The 14,528-nt window shown below is 53.4% G+C and overlaps 1 protein-coding gene across 2 annotated transcripts in view, besides 5 other annotated features; it reads right to left on the bottom strand.

Annotated features, from left to right (window-relative positions):
• NHSL3 (NHS like 3) overlaps positions 1-14,528 on the bottom strand; it is a 33,141-nt gene that overhangs the window by 11,080 nt on the left and 7,533 nt on the right. Inside the window, exon 1 of one of the 2 annotated variants that reach the window (NM_001369553.1) lies at positions 9,711-9,892. The exons of the other annotated variant lie outside the window; for it this stretch is intronic. Coding sequence (NP_001356482.1) covers positions 9,711-9,801 — 91 coding nt within the window. The 5' untranslated portion in view covers positions 9,802-9,892. Of the gene's footprint in view, positions 1-9,710; positions 9,893-14,528 lie in introns of those variants that run through there. 2 annotated transcript variants of the gene reach the window in all.
• Positions 1,867-2,087: a silencer, noted in NCBI's record as "fragment chr1:33227405-33227625 (GRCh37/hg19 assembly coordinates)". NCBI's record gives its function as "represses an EF-1alpha promoter that drives an FKBP-Casp9 reporter gene in an ReSE screen in HepG2 liver carcinoma cells {active_cell/tissue: HepG2}" and the evidence as "EXISTENCE:reporter gene assay evidence [ECO:0000049][PMID:32094911]".
• Positions 2,722-3,605: an enhancer, noted in NCBI's record as "H3K27ac-H3K4me1 hESC enhancer chr1:33225887-33226770 (GRCh37/hg19 assembly coordinates)". NCBI's record gives its function as "activates a minimal SCP1, AML or CMV promoter by ChIP-STARR-seq in primed H9 embryonic stem cells {active_cell/tissue: H9 hESC(primed)}" and the evidence as "EXISTENCE:reporter gene assay evidence [ECO:0000049][PMID:30033119]".
• Positions 3,606-4,488: an enhancer, noted in NCBI's record as "H3K27ac-H3K4me1 hESC enhancer chr1:33225004-33225886 (GRCh37/hg19 assembly coordinates)". NCBI's record gives its function as "activates a minimal SCP1, AML or CMV promoter by ChIP-STARR-seq in primed H9 embryonic stem cells {active_cell/tissue: H9 hESC(primed)}" and the evidence as "EXISTENCE:reporter gene assay evidence [ECO:0000049][PMID:30033119]".
• Positions 9,213-9,726: an enhancer, noted in NCBI's record as "H3K27ac hESC enhancer chr1:33219766-33220279 (GRCh37/hg19 assembly coordinates)". NCBI's record gives its function as "activates a minimal SCP1, AML or CMV promoter by ChIP-STARR-seq in naive H9 embryonic stem cells {active_cell/tissue: H9 hESC(naive)}" and the evidence as "EXISTENCE:reporter gene assay evidence [ECO:0000049][PMID:30033119]".
• Positions 9,850-10,109: a silencer, noted in NCBI's record as "silent region_608". NCBI's record gives its function as "represses an Ori minimal core promoter by ATAC-STARR-seq in GM12878 lymphoblastoid cells {active_cell/tissue: GM12878}" and the evidence as "EXISTENCE:reporter gene assay evidence [ECO:0000049][PMID:35858748]".

Genomic DNA, 14,528 nt, shown 5'->3' with positions numbered 1-14,528 from the left:
CTTTAAAAAATAAAATCAGCCAGGCGCGGTGGCTCACACCTGTAATCCCAGCACTTTGGGAGGCCAAGGCAGGCAGATCACCTGAGGTCAGGAGTTTGAGACCAGCCTGGCCAACATGGTGAAACCCTGTCTCTACTAAAAGTACAAAAAAATTAGCCGGGCGTGGTGGTACACACCTGTAATTCCAGCTACTCGGGAGGCTGAGGCAGGAGAATCGCTTGAACCCGGGAGGCAGAGGTTGCAGTAAGCTGAGATCCCGCTACTGCACTCCAGTCTGGGCAAGAGTGAGACTCTGTCTCAAAAATAAATAAATAAAATACAATAAAATAAACAGAAAAGGACATTGGAACTGACACTTGAATACTGAGGAGCCAGTCAGGGCAGGTACCTGGGGAAGAGTCTTCTAGACAGGCTACAGCAAGTGGAAAGGCCTTGAGGCAGGAGTGGTGGATTTCAAGGAAGAGAGAGGAGGCCAGTATGGCTGGAGGATTGAGCAATGGAAAGAATGGTAGGAGACGGAATCAGAGGAGAGCAGGCGACAGGTCAGGCTGGGCCCCATAAGCCTTGAGGGTTTCAGCTGGGTAGTGACACTGTTAAAAAATATTCTGGCCGTGCACGGTGGCTCACGCCTGTAACCCCAGCACTTTGGGAGGCTGAGGCAGGTGGATCACTTGAGGTCAGGAGTTCAAGACCAGCCTGACCAACATGGTGAAACCTTGTCTCTACTAAAAACACAAAAATGAGCCGGGCATGGTGGTGGTGTGTACCTGTAGTCCCAGCTACTCAGGAGGCAGAGGTGAGAGAATTGCTCAAACCCAGGAGGCAGAAGTTGCAGTGAGCTGAGATTGCACCATTGCACTCCAGCCTGGGTGACAGAGAGAGACTCCGTCTCAAAAAAAAAAAAAAAAAAAATTCCAGGCTAGCACTGTGGCTCACACCTGTAATCCTAGCACTTTGGGAGGCTGAGGTGGGCAGATCACCTGAGGTCAAGAGTTCAAGACCGGGCCGGGCGTGGTGGCCCATGCCTGTAATCCCAGCACTTTGGGAGGCCAAGGTGGGTGGATCACGAGGTCAGGAGTTTGAGACCAGCCTGGTCAATATGGTGAAAGCCCGTCTCTACTAAAAATACAAAAATTAGCAAGGCGCGGTGGCGGGCGCCTGTAATCCCAGCTACTTGGGAGGCTGAGGCAGGAAAATCGCTTGAATCCGGGAGGCAGAGATTGCAGTGAGCCGAGATCGCAGCCATTGCATTCCAGCCTGGGCAAGAGAGCAAAAAAATTCCGTCTCAAAAAAAAAAATAAATAAAAGATTTCCTGGGAGGCTGGGCTTGAGCCCAGGAGTTCGAGGTTACAGTGAGCTATAATTGTACCACTGCACTACAGCCTGGGCAACACAGTAAGTCCCTGTCTCTAAAAAAAAAAAAGTAAATATATAAAAATAAAGCTTAAAAAAAAAAAAGATTCCCCTGATAACTCTAAAAAACATAGCAGAGACTGTGAAAGAGAGTCTGTGAACTATATATATGTATCTGTGCAGTATCCCACCAGCCGTGCCTAAGGACACCTCTCTGTCATAGCATCTTTCTCTCTGAGTCCCTAGGGAACTAAAAATTCACAGAGGCTCCCAAGCAACACGACCCCCCTGCAGTTCCTTCCCCAGTTGCTGCCACCCTAACACTGGCCTCTTGGAGACTACTCAAGTACAAGCTGAGATCTTGCTCTCCAGAGAACAAACATTTGTGGAGCTGAATAGTCACATCAACAAATCAATGAGATCTAAACAATAATCCTAAGAAGTAGGCACTTTTATTCCCATTTTATAGATGAGGAAATGGAAACCAGAGGGAGCAAGCATTATAAAGCTGCCCTCTCTGGCCTCCATGGTGTAAATGGCAAAGCAGTATTCTCACTCAGAACAACTTGAATCCAAAAGCCACGTTCTGTGCACTGTGCCAGCTACAAACCTGATCTCCCCTCTGAAAAAGGGTCATGGGACCCCATCATCCCTACAAATTGGAGGTTTCTCGACCACCTACCTTCCCCACTCTTCCCCTCTTAGGCCAGATCCACCCACCCACCCACTCTTCTTATCAGTCTCACACAAACAGAAAAGACCAGTAGACCGACATTTGCAGGGTGATTAATTCATGCCAGGCACCATGCCAGGTCGTGGTGAAAGGCAAAACGTAGTCTCTGTCCTCATGGCTCTTACAAAAGTTCTTCGAGGCAGGTACTGGAAGGTACTTTCCTAGTAATTGATCATGGGCCTGCGAGGCTCAGAGAGCTAAGTGACTTCCTGAACTCTGGCTGGCTCTAAAACTGGAGCCTTTCACCACACAGGACAGTCATCTTCAGCTACCCTCTAACCAGGGAAACTAAGGGCTGAGCTCCTGCCAAGATGGGGGTGGAGGAACATCAGCTCATCAAGGTCCCAGGCCCACAGCTGGCAGTCAGGGCCACAGCTGCAAATTCCCAGAGATCCAAGGGCTTACACTTGATAACATCTGGTTGCCCCAGCGACACCCCTCCCCCTCCCCACCCAAGTCAGAGCTCGCAGCCTCTCCGAGTCACCCCAGATCTATACACCTGTGGCTCGCTTGGGGAGGGGCTCAGCAACCTGAGTCTCAGGTGACTGGGAGGGGTACTTCACAAAGAAACTGAGGTCCAGAGAGTGGAAAGACCTTGCCCACAGCCACGCTTAGAGTCCTTGTTCCAGGGATTTCTGCCCCTGGCAGTCCAGAGGTGCAGCCTAGGGCTGAGGCCATGAGGGAAGCATCCCATACCACACCCCCATCCCCAACATGCCTGGGGGAGGAGGCTTCCTGGATCTGAGAAGACACCTTGCTCCTGGTGGCCACGCCCCCAGCACGGAGGGCACACCGGGAAGCACACCTGCGGGCTCCTCAACTCAGAGACAGTTTACCAGGGCAGAGACTCAGGCAGCAGGCAGCGTCCCACTGGGGCCACCTCCGCAGGTGGGCACTCTCAAAACCACACCCACATGGCCGGGTGCGGTGGCTCACACCGGTAATCCCAGCACTTTGGGAGGCCAAGGCGGGTGGATCGCGAGGTCAGGAGTTCAAGACCAGCCTGGCCAACGCCGTGAAAGCCCGTCTCTACTAAAAATACAAAAATTAGCTGGGCATGGTGTCGAGCTCCTGTAATCCCGGCTACTCAGGAGGCTGAGGCAGGAGAATCGCTTGAACCCAGGAGGCGAAGGTTGCAGTGAGCCAAGACCACGCCATTGCACTCCAGCCTGGGTGACAGAGTGACACTCGGTCTCAAACAAAAAAAAAAAAAAAACACACACACACACCCATAAAGCACACCTAAGCCACCCTAGTCCCTGCCTTCCTCACCCATGAGCGACCGCACAGACCCACACAGGGCCTGCCAAGGGGCTGTGTGTACAGAAAAACAGGTGTGTGTAGCCCCTACTCAGGGGCTTTCCTAAGCCTGGGGAAAGGGAAGAATCGGGGAGGGAGCCACTGCCTCCCAAGGCCACGCGCATGCGCACGCACTGTCTTGGCAACATCCTCCATGGGGTGAGGCCTCAACCTGCCCCATTCCAGAGCAAGGGGCGGGGGTGGTGGCGCGCCCACAGCCAGGCAGGCCTGACTCAGGGGAGAGGAATGAAGGGGGAGGGCACAGCTGTCCAGGTGGCCTTGCTCAGGAGGCCGAACCCTCTGAAGCCAACCCAGCCCCCAACTCCCTACTCCTGTCTGAACTGTCCCTGGCCAGCCCATGAGCCAGAATGCTGGGTGTTCAGAGGCCCTTAGCCTCAACCCCTCACTGCACAGGTGGACAAACGAAGGCCCCCGCTCCCCAACCATTACACATTCTAGAAGCAGAAGCAGAAACCAGAATGTAGATTTTATTCCCAAAGAGGCAAGACAAAGGAAAATGAGCATAACAAACTTTCAGGTGGAGGCACTTTACGGTTCTCAAAACACTTTCTCTTCTACTGTCTCGCAGAACACCTAACAAGAAAGTTAAAAGGCAGGAGTGGTTTCCTTTTTACAAATGAGCACCAGGAGGCTCAAGGGAAAGTGACTAACTTGCTCAAGGTCACCCAACCAGGGAGTGGTTGAACCTGGGTCTCACTCCAACAACCTTAGTGATCCTAAGTCTGAGAAAGTTAATGGGTAAGGGCAGTTGGGGGAGGGGCACGACCTCAATCTCTGCCCAAAGAAAGTAGGGGCTCTGCACCCCACCTGTGCCGGAATCCCTCTCCTTCCTTCCCTTGGTGTCCAGCCCCACCCCAGCAGGGACAGAGCTGACAGGCCGGTTCTAAGGTAAATAATGGGGGGCAGGGAGTGCCCAGAGCAGGGAGGGGAGGAGCCCATCCCACAGGGTGCCCTGGGGGAACAGGCAGTAGTGCACGGAGGAATTAGCTACGATAATATTAATAAATGTCCTAATGAGTTTCTGGGCCAGTATTTGCTCCCAGCAATGACATAATAATCCCTTTCAGCCAAGGCGCAATTCTAACTTTCCACAGCCCTTTCCTTAGTTCCTTCAAGGCATGATTATCCCCATCTTATGGATGCCAGAGGCAGACACCACAGAGTAAGGAGAAGAAAGAGCTGGGAATCAGGAGGTCTGGATTCCAGGCCTTGGATGAAGGAATTGGCCTCTCTGGGCCTCAGTCCCCTCATCTGTAAGGTGGGACTAACACCCACATCACAGAGTGCCTGGGAACCTTAAAGAAAGCCACACAATCTAGTGTAAACCCTGACCCCAAGGGTCAGAGACTTGCCCAAGGTCACACTGCTAGAAATGGCAGAGGCAGGATGTGAGCCCAACTCTGACTGGCTGCAAAATCATGTTCTTCCTATGCCACCAGCAGCCTCCTCTCCCCACCACTCCAGCTCTCTTCAAATCTCAAGTAAGGTTAAGGACCATTAAGATAAGGTCTGATAAGGAACACTTGACATCAGCTCCCTATCTCTCCTTAGTGACACCCCTCCATGTGGCAGCCCTAACCCCTCAGTTTGGGAAGGAAGGGAATTCCAGGCCCAGACCAGATCTCACTGCCCTGGAGTGAGGATTCCTAGGTTGGAGCTTTCATTTCCCCTTAATTGCAACATGATCCTGAGCCAGGTACTGTGCTTTTCTGGGCCTCAGTTTCTTCATCTGAGATGTGGCAGGGGTTGGAGAGATGATCTTCAAAGAGCCCTCACCATGGATGACTTTGCCCCTAGAAGGAAGGGGGGTCAGTGCTTCCCTTCCTTGAGTCGGGGCCTGGGGCAGCAAGGAGATTCCGCTTATCTCAGATCCCTGGGATCAGAGAGAGCTGGACCAGCCTCTTATCTGGAAGCCCGGGGCTCCCACAAGCAAGTCACCCAAGCAGTTGATCACAAGTCTCCCCACAAGAAAGGGGACGAGACATGGGGGGAATGGAGGAGGGAGCCTTGTCCAGCTGTGGAACCTACCAAAGACCCCAGACTCCAAGAAGTTAAACCTCCAGGTCTACAGGCAGGGGGAAGGATGAAAAGAATTCCAGATGGTCTGACTCCAGCAGTCCCTTCCCTCAGTCTCCCCATGTGCACAATGGGAACAATAAATCCAACCAGAAGGAGGGCCATGTGTGTGAGCTTGACAGTGCAACGCATGGGAAAAGGAAGAGGGCGGGTCTTCCTGGGTTACCAATTCACATCCACCACCATTCCCCAACCTACCCAGGACCGAGTGCTCAGCTAGCCTGGGAAGGGGAGAGTTGGGTGGATCCCTGAGTGCCAAGACCAAACAATCCCGGCAGGTTACAGTATCTTTCCAGCAGTCAGGAGGCCTCACCTCATACACCTTCACCCTTCTCTACCTTACAAGGGCATTTGATCTGCGGGATCAACGCTTCCTTGAGTCTTGATTTCCCCTTCCCACTTGCTTCCTCTCTAAGCGCTTGGAGGCTTTAATGCTTAGTCCTCAACCCCTAACCCTCCCCACAGTGCTTCCTCCACTAGTCCTCTTTACATAGTCCAAATCCCCCGGGGCCGGGGCCGCAGGCTTTCTCTGCCCAGAGGACGTGCAGGGTGTCATAAGATGACACCCTTCTATTCCTAAACTGATTAAGGGCACAGGCTTTGTAATGTGACAGGCTTGAGTTTTAATCCAGATTCAGCCATCTCCTTGCTGTGTGGCCTTGAGAAAGTGACTTCACTTCTCCGAACTCAGCTTCCTCATCTCTAAAATGGGAGAATAGCCTGTGGCTTGTGGGACTGTTGGAGGACAAAGGACAAATGAATTAACTGATGTAAAGGGACAGCATAGGGACTTATTTTTATCTCTGCTACCATCTCCCAGCCAAGCAGCCTCAAGCACAGAAGCCCACACAGCTCCCTCTGGCCCTTACTCTCAACATCTGGTTAATCCCAGGTCTTATCAATTCAGCCACTTCCTCCGAAGTGTCTCTGCAGCTGCCACTCCTCTCCACTCCCACAACCCCCACCCTGTCCCCAGCCCTCACCTCATCACCTCTCCCCTGGATTACTGCAACAGTCTCTGAGCCTCCACTCTCACCACCCCACCCCTCAACCTGTCCTGCCTGCACCTGCCCCCACCCTAGAGCCATCTTCCTAACACCCCACTTTTGTAGACTCCTCCCTTGCTCAAACACCTTCACTGGCTCCCTGTGGCCTGCAGACTCCAGACCTCTCTCCCTGCCTTGTATTCTCTCCTTCCTCTTCTCACAGACTAATGAAATGAGTACTTATACTGGCACTTGAGTACTTATACTCAAGCTCCAGTCCCCATCTGGGCTTGTCACAGCAGAGGCTGAGGCCGAGGATGACTTAGGATCCTCAGCACAAGTAAAACCAAAGGTACCGAGGTTTACATTCACAATGGAACCTCAAGAGGACCCTCAGCTACTTTTCCCTCCCACCTCCATGCTCAGTCTCAACTCCATTTGTTTTTTGTTTTTGAAATGGAGTCGAGTTCTTGTCACCCAGGCTGGAGTGCAGTGGCGCAATCTCGGCTCGCTGCAACCTCCACCTCCTGGGTTCAAGTGATTCTCCTGCCTCAGCCTCAAAAGTAGCTGGGATTACAGGTGCCCACCACCACGCCTGGCTAGTTTTTGTATTTTTAGTAGAGACGGGGTTTCACCATGTTGGCTGGGCTGGTCTCAAACTCCTGACCTCAGGTGATCCACCCACCTCAACCTCCTAAAGTGCTGGGATTACAGGTGTGAGCTACTGCATCCAGCCCATTCTTTTTTTTTTTTTTTTTTTTTTTTGGAGACAGGGTCTCACTCTGTCACCCAGACTGGAGTGCACTGGCACGATCGGCTCACTGCAGCCTTGACCTCCCAGGCTCACGTAATCCCCTCACCTCAGCCTCTCAAGCTACTGGGACCAAAGGCACATGTGCCACCACGCCCAGATACTGTTTTATTTCTTGTAGAAATGGGCGGGGGGGGGGGGTCTCGTCATGTTGCCCCAAGCTACTCTCAAACTCCTGGGCTCAAGTTATCCTCCCATCTCGGCCTCCCAAAATGCTGGGATTACAGGCATAAACCACCTCGCCTGACCTCAACTCCATGCCTTTACTCACGGCCATACCCCACAGCTGAAACAAATCCCTGGTTCTCTCATTTAACCAACAATTTAGGACTAATTTCAATCCTGTGATTACTTCAAAGACAAATTAGGACCATCTCCTCAGTTTTCTAAAGCTGACCCCAACCCAGAAGGCTTTTGATATATTGCCTAGAATATTTCCTAGCCCCTCACACTTAATTTCTGTGTTGTCTTGACATTGCTTTCTAATTTTTTTCAGAACGCCTTAAAGCTTGAGTTGACCCATAAGTTGCAGCAGGAACTGGAAGCTCACAAGTGTTGCTGGAAGCCCCAGGCCACTTCCTCAAGGGCCAGTAGGCAAGAGACTATAAACACAGCCTTCTTATCTTCTCTCTCCTCCATCACAAATGGTCACAAGTCTGGGCCCACAGTTAGTTCCTAGGAAACCATCAGATCCGAGCGACCATCAGAGGACAGATGAAGAGCCCCAGCCCTGCCCCCTTAGTGCAGATTCTAGGAGAGACAGGTAGGCACAGACAGGGCTTTCAGGACTGCTGGGGCAGGGAGAGTGCTGGAAGGTCCTGGAGATTCTCATCAACACCTACCTTCTGAGAAATCCTCAAAGAGCCTAACTGAACTTAGTTAACCCTTTTCTTATTGTCATTTTGATTATATTACTACCTCAAACCACCACAGGCAAATGACCTTGGACAAGTCCCTCTTTCCTGGACCTCAGTCTCGTCATCCATGAAATGGCTAGCCAGAACAGTAAGTGTCCCAAGAAGTCACCTAGGGCCCCTGATTTCACAGACAGAACCCCTGTAGGAGCCAGAGTGGTCCAGACAAGTGAAAGGAATCTGCTCAAGGTCACCAGGGCCTATTCCACAGCCTCATTGAGAGGAGAGGTCCCCCACTTCCCAGCCCAGGCTCTTTCCACCACCCCCTCCATGGAGCGATGAGATCATCAAGCTCCGGTTCGGAATCTCTAGGAATGTGGGCCATCCTGGGAATACACCCGTAGATTCTCCCACCACAGCAGGGCCCCCTTCACTCCACCTCCTCTGGGATTTCCTCACTCCCCCAGACCAACAGGTATCGCTAAAGTGCCTGCCTATGTTGAAGACCCTCTATCTTGGGGAGGAGGGAATGGTACCATCACCCTGCCCTTCCCCCATCTCTGGATTCACCAGTAACTAGGCACTCTCGATAGCCCCTCCTTCAGCGCCCCTCGGGGATACCCTGAACTGCCGCACTTGTTGGGGGAAACAGGAATCCCATCTCTTGGGATTGGAGGCCTTCCCCTTTCCCTCCCCTCCCCATTGGAGCCTGGAATGTGACCCGCGGAGGGATCCCGCAGCAGCCGGCAAGGGCTGCGTTCCAGCTCGGTGGCTGCATTGAAAGGGGGAGATGCGGCGGCGACCTCGGGGACCGTGGGGACGGGGGAGGGGGGGAGGCGGGGAGAAGTCGCGGTGGCGCGGGTGGGGGTAGGGAGGGAGCCAAGAAAACCAGTCCGACTCCCGATCGCGCCAGATGGAGGCGGTCCCCAGACTCCAGCCCCGGGTTTCCAGCTTCTCCCTTCCACCTTTGTCTCCCCTCCCTCCTACAAACTTTCAGCCTTCAGCCTGTTGGGGGCTAAGATCTGGGAAATAAGCGTGTGTGTCCGAGTGCCTTAGGGTCTGCTGTGAGCCTGAATGCGAGTCCGGTTGGTTGTGCAGTTATGAACCTGTGTGTACATCTGTGTGCCTAAGACGCTGGGCAACTGTACCCACATGACCGATGTGTGTGAACGACTGTGTGCCTGTGTGTCTGGATCTGCGCGTGGGTGTAGTTCGTGTGGCTGTGTAAACCGCATGCATAGGTATACATGTACCTATGTCTCAGGCTGTGTGCGTCCTACTGCGATGGTACGAGAGTGTGGGTGTGATGGTGTATGTGATCCTGTGTCTGCGTGTCCGTACATTTGAGTGGGTGTTGTGCGTGTGACTGTGTAAACTGCGAACATGTACGTGTGCCCGCCCGTAGGTATTACCGTGTACGTGTGTCTCCGTGTGCCTGTGAGGGGTGGGGTCTGCGCGGGGATTCCCGACCCCCCCACACTCACACCCTCCAAGCCCCGGGAGGGGGCAGCAGCGGTGGCGACGACCGCAGTAGGGACCCTCCTCCCTGCCTGCCCCGCCCCCACCCCGGCCCCTACCTGCCGGCCGCTTCGCCGACCGCCCGAACCGCCAGAAGCTGCGGACCCGGGGACCGCTGGGGGCCTTCCTCTTGTGGTGTGAGTTCCCCATTGCGGGTGCGGGAGCCGGCGCGGGAACCCAAGCGCGGCCCAGCCAGCCCGGCCGCCGGGCCCGCAGCCCCGGGAGGGAGGCAGCGAGACTCGCGGGCGGGCACCGCGGGCGCCCCCAGCCCCAGCTCGACCACGCCCCCGAGCTCTGCGGCCAATGGCCAGGCCGGGGGCGGGCCCGGAGGAGGGGCGGGGCCTGGCGCGCATCCCGTCGGCTCCGCCCCTCCCGGGACCTGGGAGACCGGCTGAGCCGCCCAGCCTAGGGCGCACAGGGGAAGGCCTGGCCAGTCCAGGTGGGGCAGGCGGGTTGCCCACTCTCTCAGCCCAGAGGCTACCGCTCTGAGGAGTGCAATGGAGCTGGGAGAACGCGGATCCGCAGCCCTGCTGCCGCTAGAGCCCACCAGCCACCTCCCCGTGACTGTCACGTGCCTGTGTGTACAAATGTATCGAACTGACTGTATTTCTGTAGTTACAGTGTTCAAAATAGTAGCACCCTTTTACTTAGTGTTTACTATGTGCCAGGCTCTGTGCTAACCGCTTTCATGCATTACTTCATTTTATCCACAATTGTGTAAGGTAGGTCCTTTTTTTATTATTTTTTTTATTTTTTTGAGACCAAGTCTCGCTGTCACCCAGGCTGGAGGGCAGGGGCACGCTCTCGGCTCACTGCAACCTCCACCTGCCCGGTTCAAACGATTCTCCTGCCTCAGCCTCCCGAGTAGCTGGGACTACAGGTGCGCACCACCATGCCCGGCTAATTTTTGTAATTTTAGTAGAGACGGGGTTTCACCATGTTGTTCAGGCTGGTCTCAAACTCCTGACCTCAGGTGATATGCCTGCTTTGGCCTCCTAAAGTGCTGGGATTACAGGCGTGAGCCACACCACCCGGCCTGTTAAATATTTTTTTAACCAGCCTGGCCAACATGGTGAAACCCTGTCTCTACTAAAAATACAAAAATTAGCCAGGCTTGGTGGCACATGCCTGTAATCCCACCTACTCAGAAGGCTGAGGCAGGAGAATCGCTTGAACCCAGGAGGTGGAGGTTGTAGTGAGCCAAGATCACACCACTGCACTCCAGCCTGGGTGACAGAGCAAGACTCCGTCTCAAAAAAAAAAAAACCAAAATATATATATATATATATGTGTGTGTGTGTGTGTGTGTGTGTGTGTGTGTGTGTGTGTGTGTGTGTGCATGTTTTTTTTTTCTTTAAAAACGCCAGGCATTGTGGCTCACACCTGTAATCCCAGCATTTTGGGAGGCCAAGGCGGGCAGATCACTTCAGGTCAGGAGTTCGAGACTAGCCTGGCCAACATGGTAAAACCTCATCTCTGCTAAAAACACAAAACATTAGCCAGGCGTGGTGGCTCATGCTTGTAATCCCAGCTACTTGGGAGGCTGAGGTGGGAGGATCGCTTGAACCTGGGAGGCAGAGGTTGCAGTGAGCCAAGATCACGCTACTGCACTCCAGCCTGGGTGACAGAGTGAAAAATTAAAAACAGAGAGAAGAAAAGCCTTCTAGGCTGCCTGGCGCTCCCACCTCTGTCTCCTCATCACAGGTGTCCTTGTGCTGAGGGACCTGCCCAGGGCCCCATTGCCTGGGCAATAACTCTTCTTTACCATCACTTCTGCCCTGTCTCTCCAACTAGAGGCAACATGGTAGAGCAGAGAGAGCACTGGGCTGGAAGTCTAGAGCCCTCAGTTCTAGACCCCACATGGCTTATCCTTCCTGCCACCAGAACAAGCCCCTCCACTATACCGTGCTACCTCTTATGCCCGATGGCTCCAGCAAACCCTCTTCCCTCCCTGCAAAATGTGAGAGTCAAAGCTAAACCCAACTCTCTCTGAGGCCCTTCTCTTGCTAGAGTCTCAGGTTGACAACAGTGCAGTCCTTGAAAGGCTGGCAAGTTATTCACCCATAGAAAATATTCATTGAGCATACACTGTGTACCAAGCTGCGTGTACACTTTGCACAGAGAAAATGGTCCTAGTGTCAAAGCTGAAAAAGACCTCGGAGATCAGCTAGCCAATTCCCTGAATTTATATAGATAGGGAAACTGGGGCCCATAAAAAGAACAGTTAGTATGGGGGAGTAGAGGGAATACCCAAGGATAAAGTCTAAATTTCTTGGCATGAATTAAGTGAGGACAGGTATGTGAAGAGGCTCAAAGGATTTCTGAAGTGTGGCAGGTTCCTTGGCCTTCACAAGAAGCGTTGGAGGAGCTGCCCCTGCCCACCAGTTCAGCCTCATCTCCGACCTCATCTCTGAGATGAGAATCTTCTTCTCAGAGCTACAACCACACAAAACTGCTTGCCACCCTCCAGCACACAACTCCAGGCGTTCACACCTGCCATCCCCTCTTCCACCTTGGCCTGAAAGGTGCCTTTTCATTCTCAATGCCCTGCTCTACATGCTGCTCCTCCATGAAGTCTTCCTTGCACCCCCTCTTCCCCCAGCTCAGTGCTTCCTTAATGAAGGCCCCACAGACATTAGTGCTGCCTTCTGATATAGTACTGATCACACCCCAGGGCTCCCCTGCACCCCGTGTTCACCATCCCAGAACTTGCCTTCAGACAATAGTTTTAGTGTCTGCCTTTCCAACCAGAACAGTTTCCTGAAGAGCAGTGATTGTCTGACTCCTTTGAGTAACCCCAGGCTCAGCACATAGTAGGTGTACCTATGTGTTTAATAGAAACTGGTGGAGGTGGAGATGGTGGGGCTTGTAGATTAGCTGTAGTAGCAACGGTGACGCTTGCATACTGACGGAGGTAGTGATGATAGCGCATAAATACTTTCACTGCAAAGGCAGTGCTTGCTCCAGGATCCTGTGGGAGGAGTACTGCCCACTGCCAAGAACACAGGACAGGCTAGGCTAGGACTGGTGGGAAGAAGTAGGTGGTATGGAAGGCATATGGACCAGAACTCCAGGAACCACAAGAATGAGCTGGAATGCCTCGTGACCCTCTTAGAAAATGGTGGGGAAGGCCAGGCACGGTGGCTCATGCCTGTAATCCCAGCACTTTGGGAGGTAGAGGCGGGCAGATCACCTGAGGTCGGGAGTTCAAGACCAGCCTGACCAACACGGTGAAACCCCGTGTCTACTAAAAATACAAAATTAGCCAGGCATGGTGGCGGGCACCTGTAGTCCCGGCTACTTGGGAGGCTGAGGCAGGAGATTCGCTTGAACCTGGGAGTCAGAGGTTGCAGTGAGCTGAGATCACACCACTGCACTCCAGCCTGGGTGACACAGCGAGACTGTCTCAAAAAAATAAATAAATAAATAAAAGGGGCCGGGCGCTGTGGCTCATGCCTGTAATCCCAGCACTTTGGAAGGCTGAGGCGGGCAGATCACAAGGTCAGCAGTTTAAGACCAGCCTGGCCAACATGGTGAAACCCCGTCTCTACTAAAAATACAAAAATTTGCTGGGCATGGTGGCAGGCGCCTATAATCCCAGCTACTCGGGAGGCTGAGGCAGGAGAATCACTTGAACCCAGGAGGTGGAGGTTGCGGTGAGCAGAGATCGCACCACTGCACTCCAGCCTGGGAAACAAGAGCGAAACTCTGTCTCAAAAAATAAAAATGAAAATGGTGGGGAAGACCTCACTTGGCTAGACTTGGAGGAGGGGGTGTCCTAAGCAGACAGGAGGCCTCACTTAGTAATCTCCCTACCAGGAGCCTCCTGGGAATCACGCACTTTGCTACAAGATTCAGGGTTTAAATCCTCTGTGAGCTGAGCTGTCTCTATCGCCCCTTCCATGCCAAGCACAGAGATGGGCACCCTGTGAGTGGGCTGACAGTCTTTTAATGAATCAGCCCCTCAGGACAGTGGAGTACAAGGGCATAGAGTACAGTGGGGTATAACTAACGATGGGGGAGGCGGACAGAGATTTCACTCCTCCTAACCAAGGAAGCTGCAGGGACTTGGCTGACTTCCCCAAGTCTGCCAACGGGCTAGAGGTGGCCTTTGGGTCCGCACAAGGAAGGTGTGTGTCCCTGCTCCTCCAACCCCACCATGTTCACTGTGGCCCAAATAACATACAATGCTTCCTCTTATTCGTTTTCTTTAGCATGTGACAGGCCATGAGCAGCTGAGACAGCTTTGAGGGTCTGGAGAGAGAGGGATTTCCAAGGAGCAAGTGCTGAGGGGAGGCTCTCACTCTGCCCTCTGCTGACAAGAGAATGCAGATTTTTGGGGTCACAGGGCTTGGCCACCACAGTTCAACCCTTGCTAGGAGCCCTGCTTCAGGGACTGCAGGGAGGGTACAGTATGGGGAGAGCACACTGATTGAGAGCCCCTTTCAGGCCCAAGGGGAATTTCCAAGAGAAGGGTGAGGGAGAGAGAGCTGGAAGGAGCCCCTGAAGGTGTTGAGGGGAGGGCAGGGAAGACTCCCTTGGCCTTGCTTCCTTCTCAGCTCTTCACACCCCTAGCAGAGGCACCTCTCTGGGATGCGATTTTCCATTTGAAGTCTGAAGAAAGGAGTGAAGAAGCTGAAGGCCTGGCAGTTGTGGGCTTTTCTTCTGCCTCTGACACTAGATGGCCATGTGAACTTGAGCAAGTCACTTCCTCCTCCGGGCCTCAGCTGCCCCATCTGTATGTACCATGAGGGCTCCCTATGACATCTCGGGCCATGAGCTCTGAGAGTCTAGGATCCGGAGATGCCCATCTCTGGGGGCCCATACTGGAGCATTACCTATCATCCAAGGCCACTTAGCCAGGCCTTGTGCTGGCC

The sequence above is a fragment of the Homo sapiens genome, chromosome 1 (assembly GCF_000001405.40).
Source record: "Homo sapiens chromosome 1, GRCh38.p14 Primary Assembly".
Lineage (NCBI taxonomy): Eukaryota > Metazoa > Chordata > Mammalia > Primates > Hominidae > Homo > Homo sapiens.
Note: the sequence above shows the minus strand (reverse complement) of the source record. Positions and strands in the feature narration are given on the sequence as shown.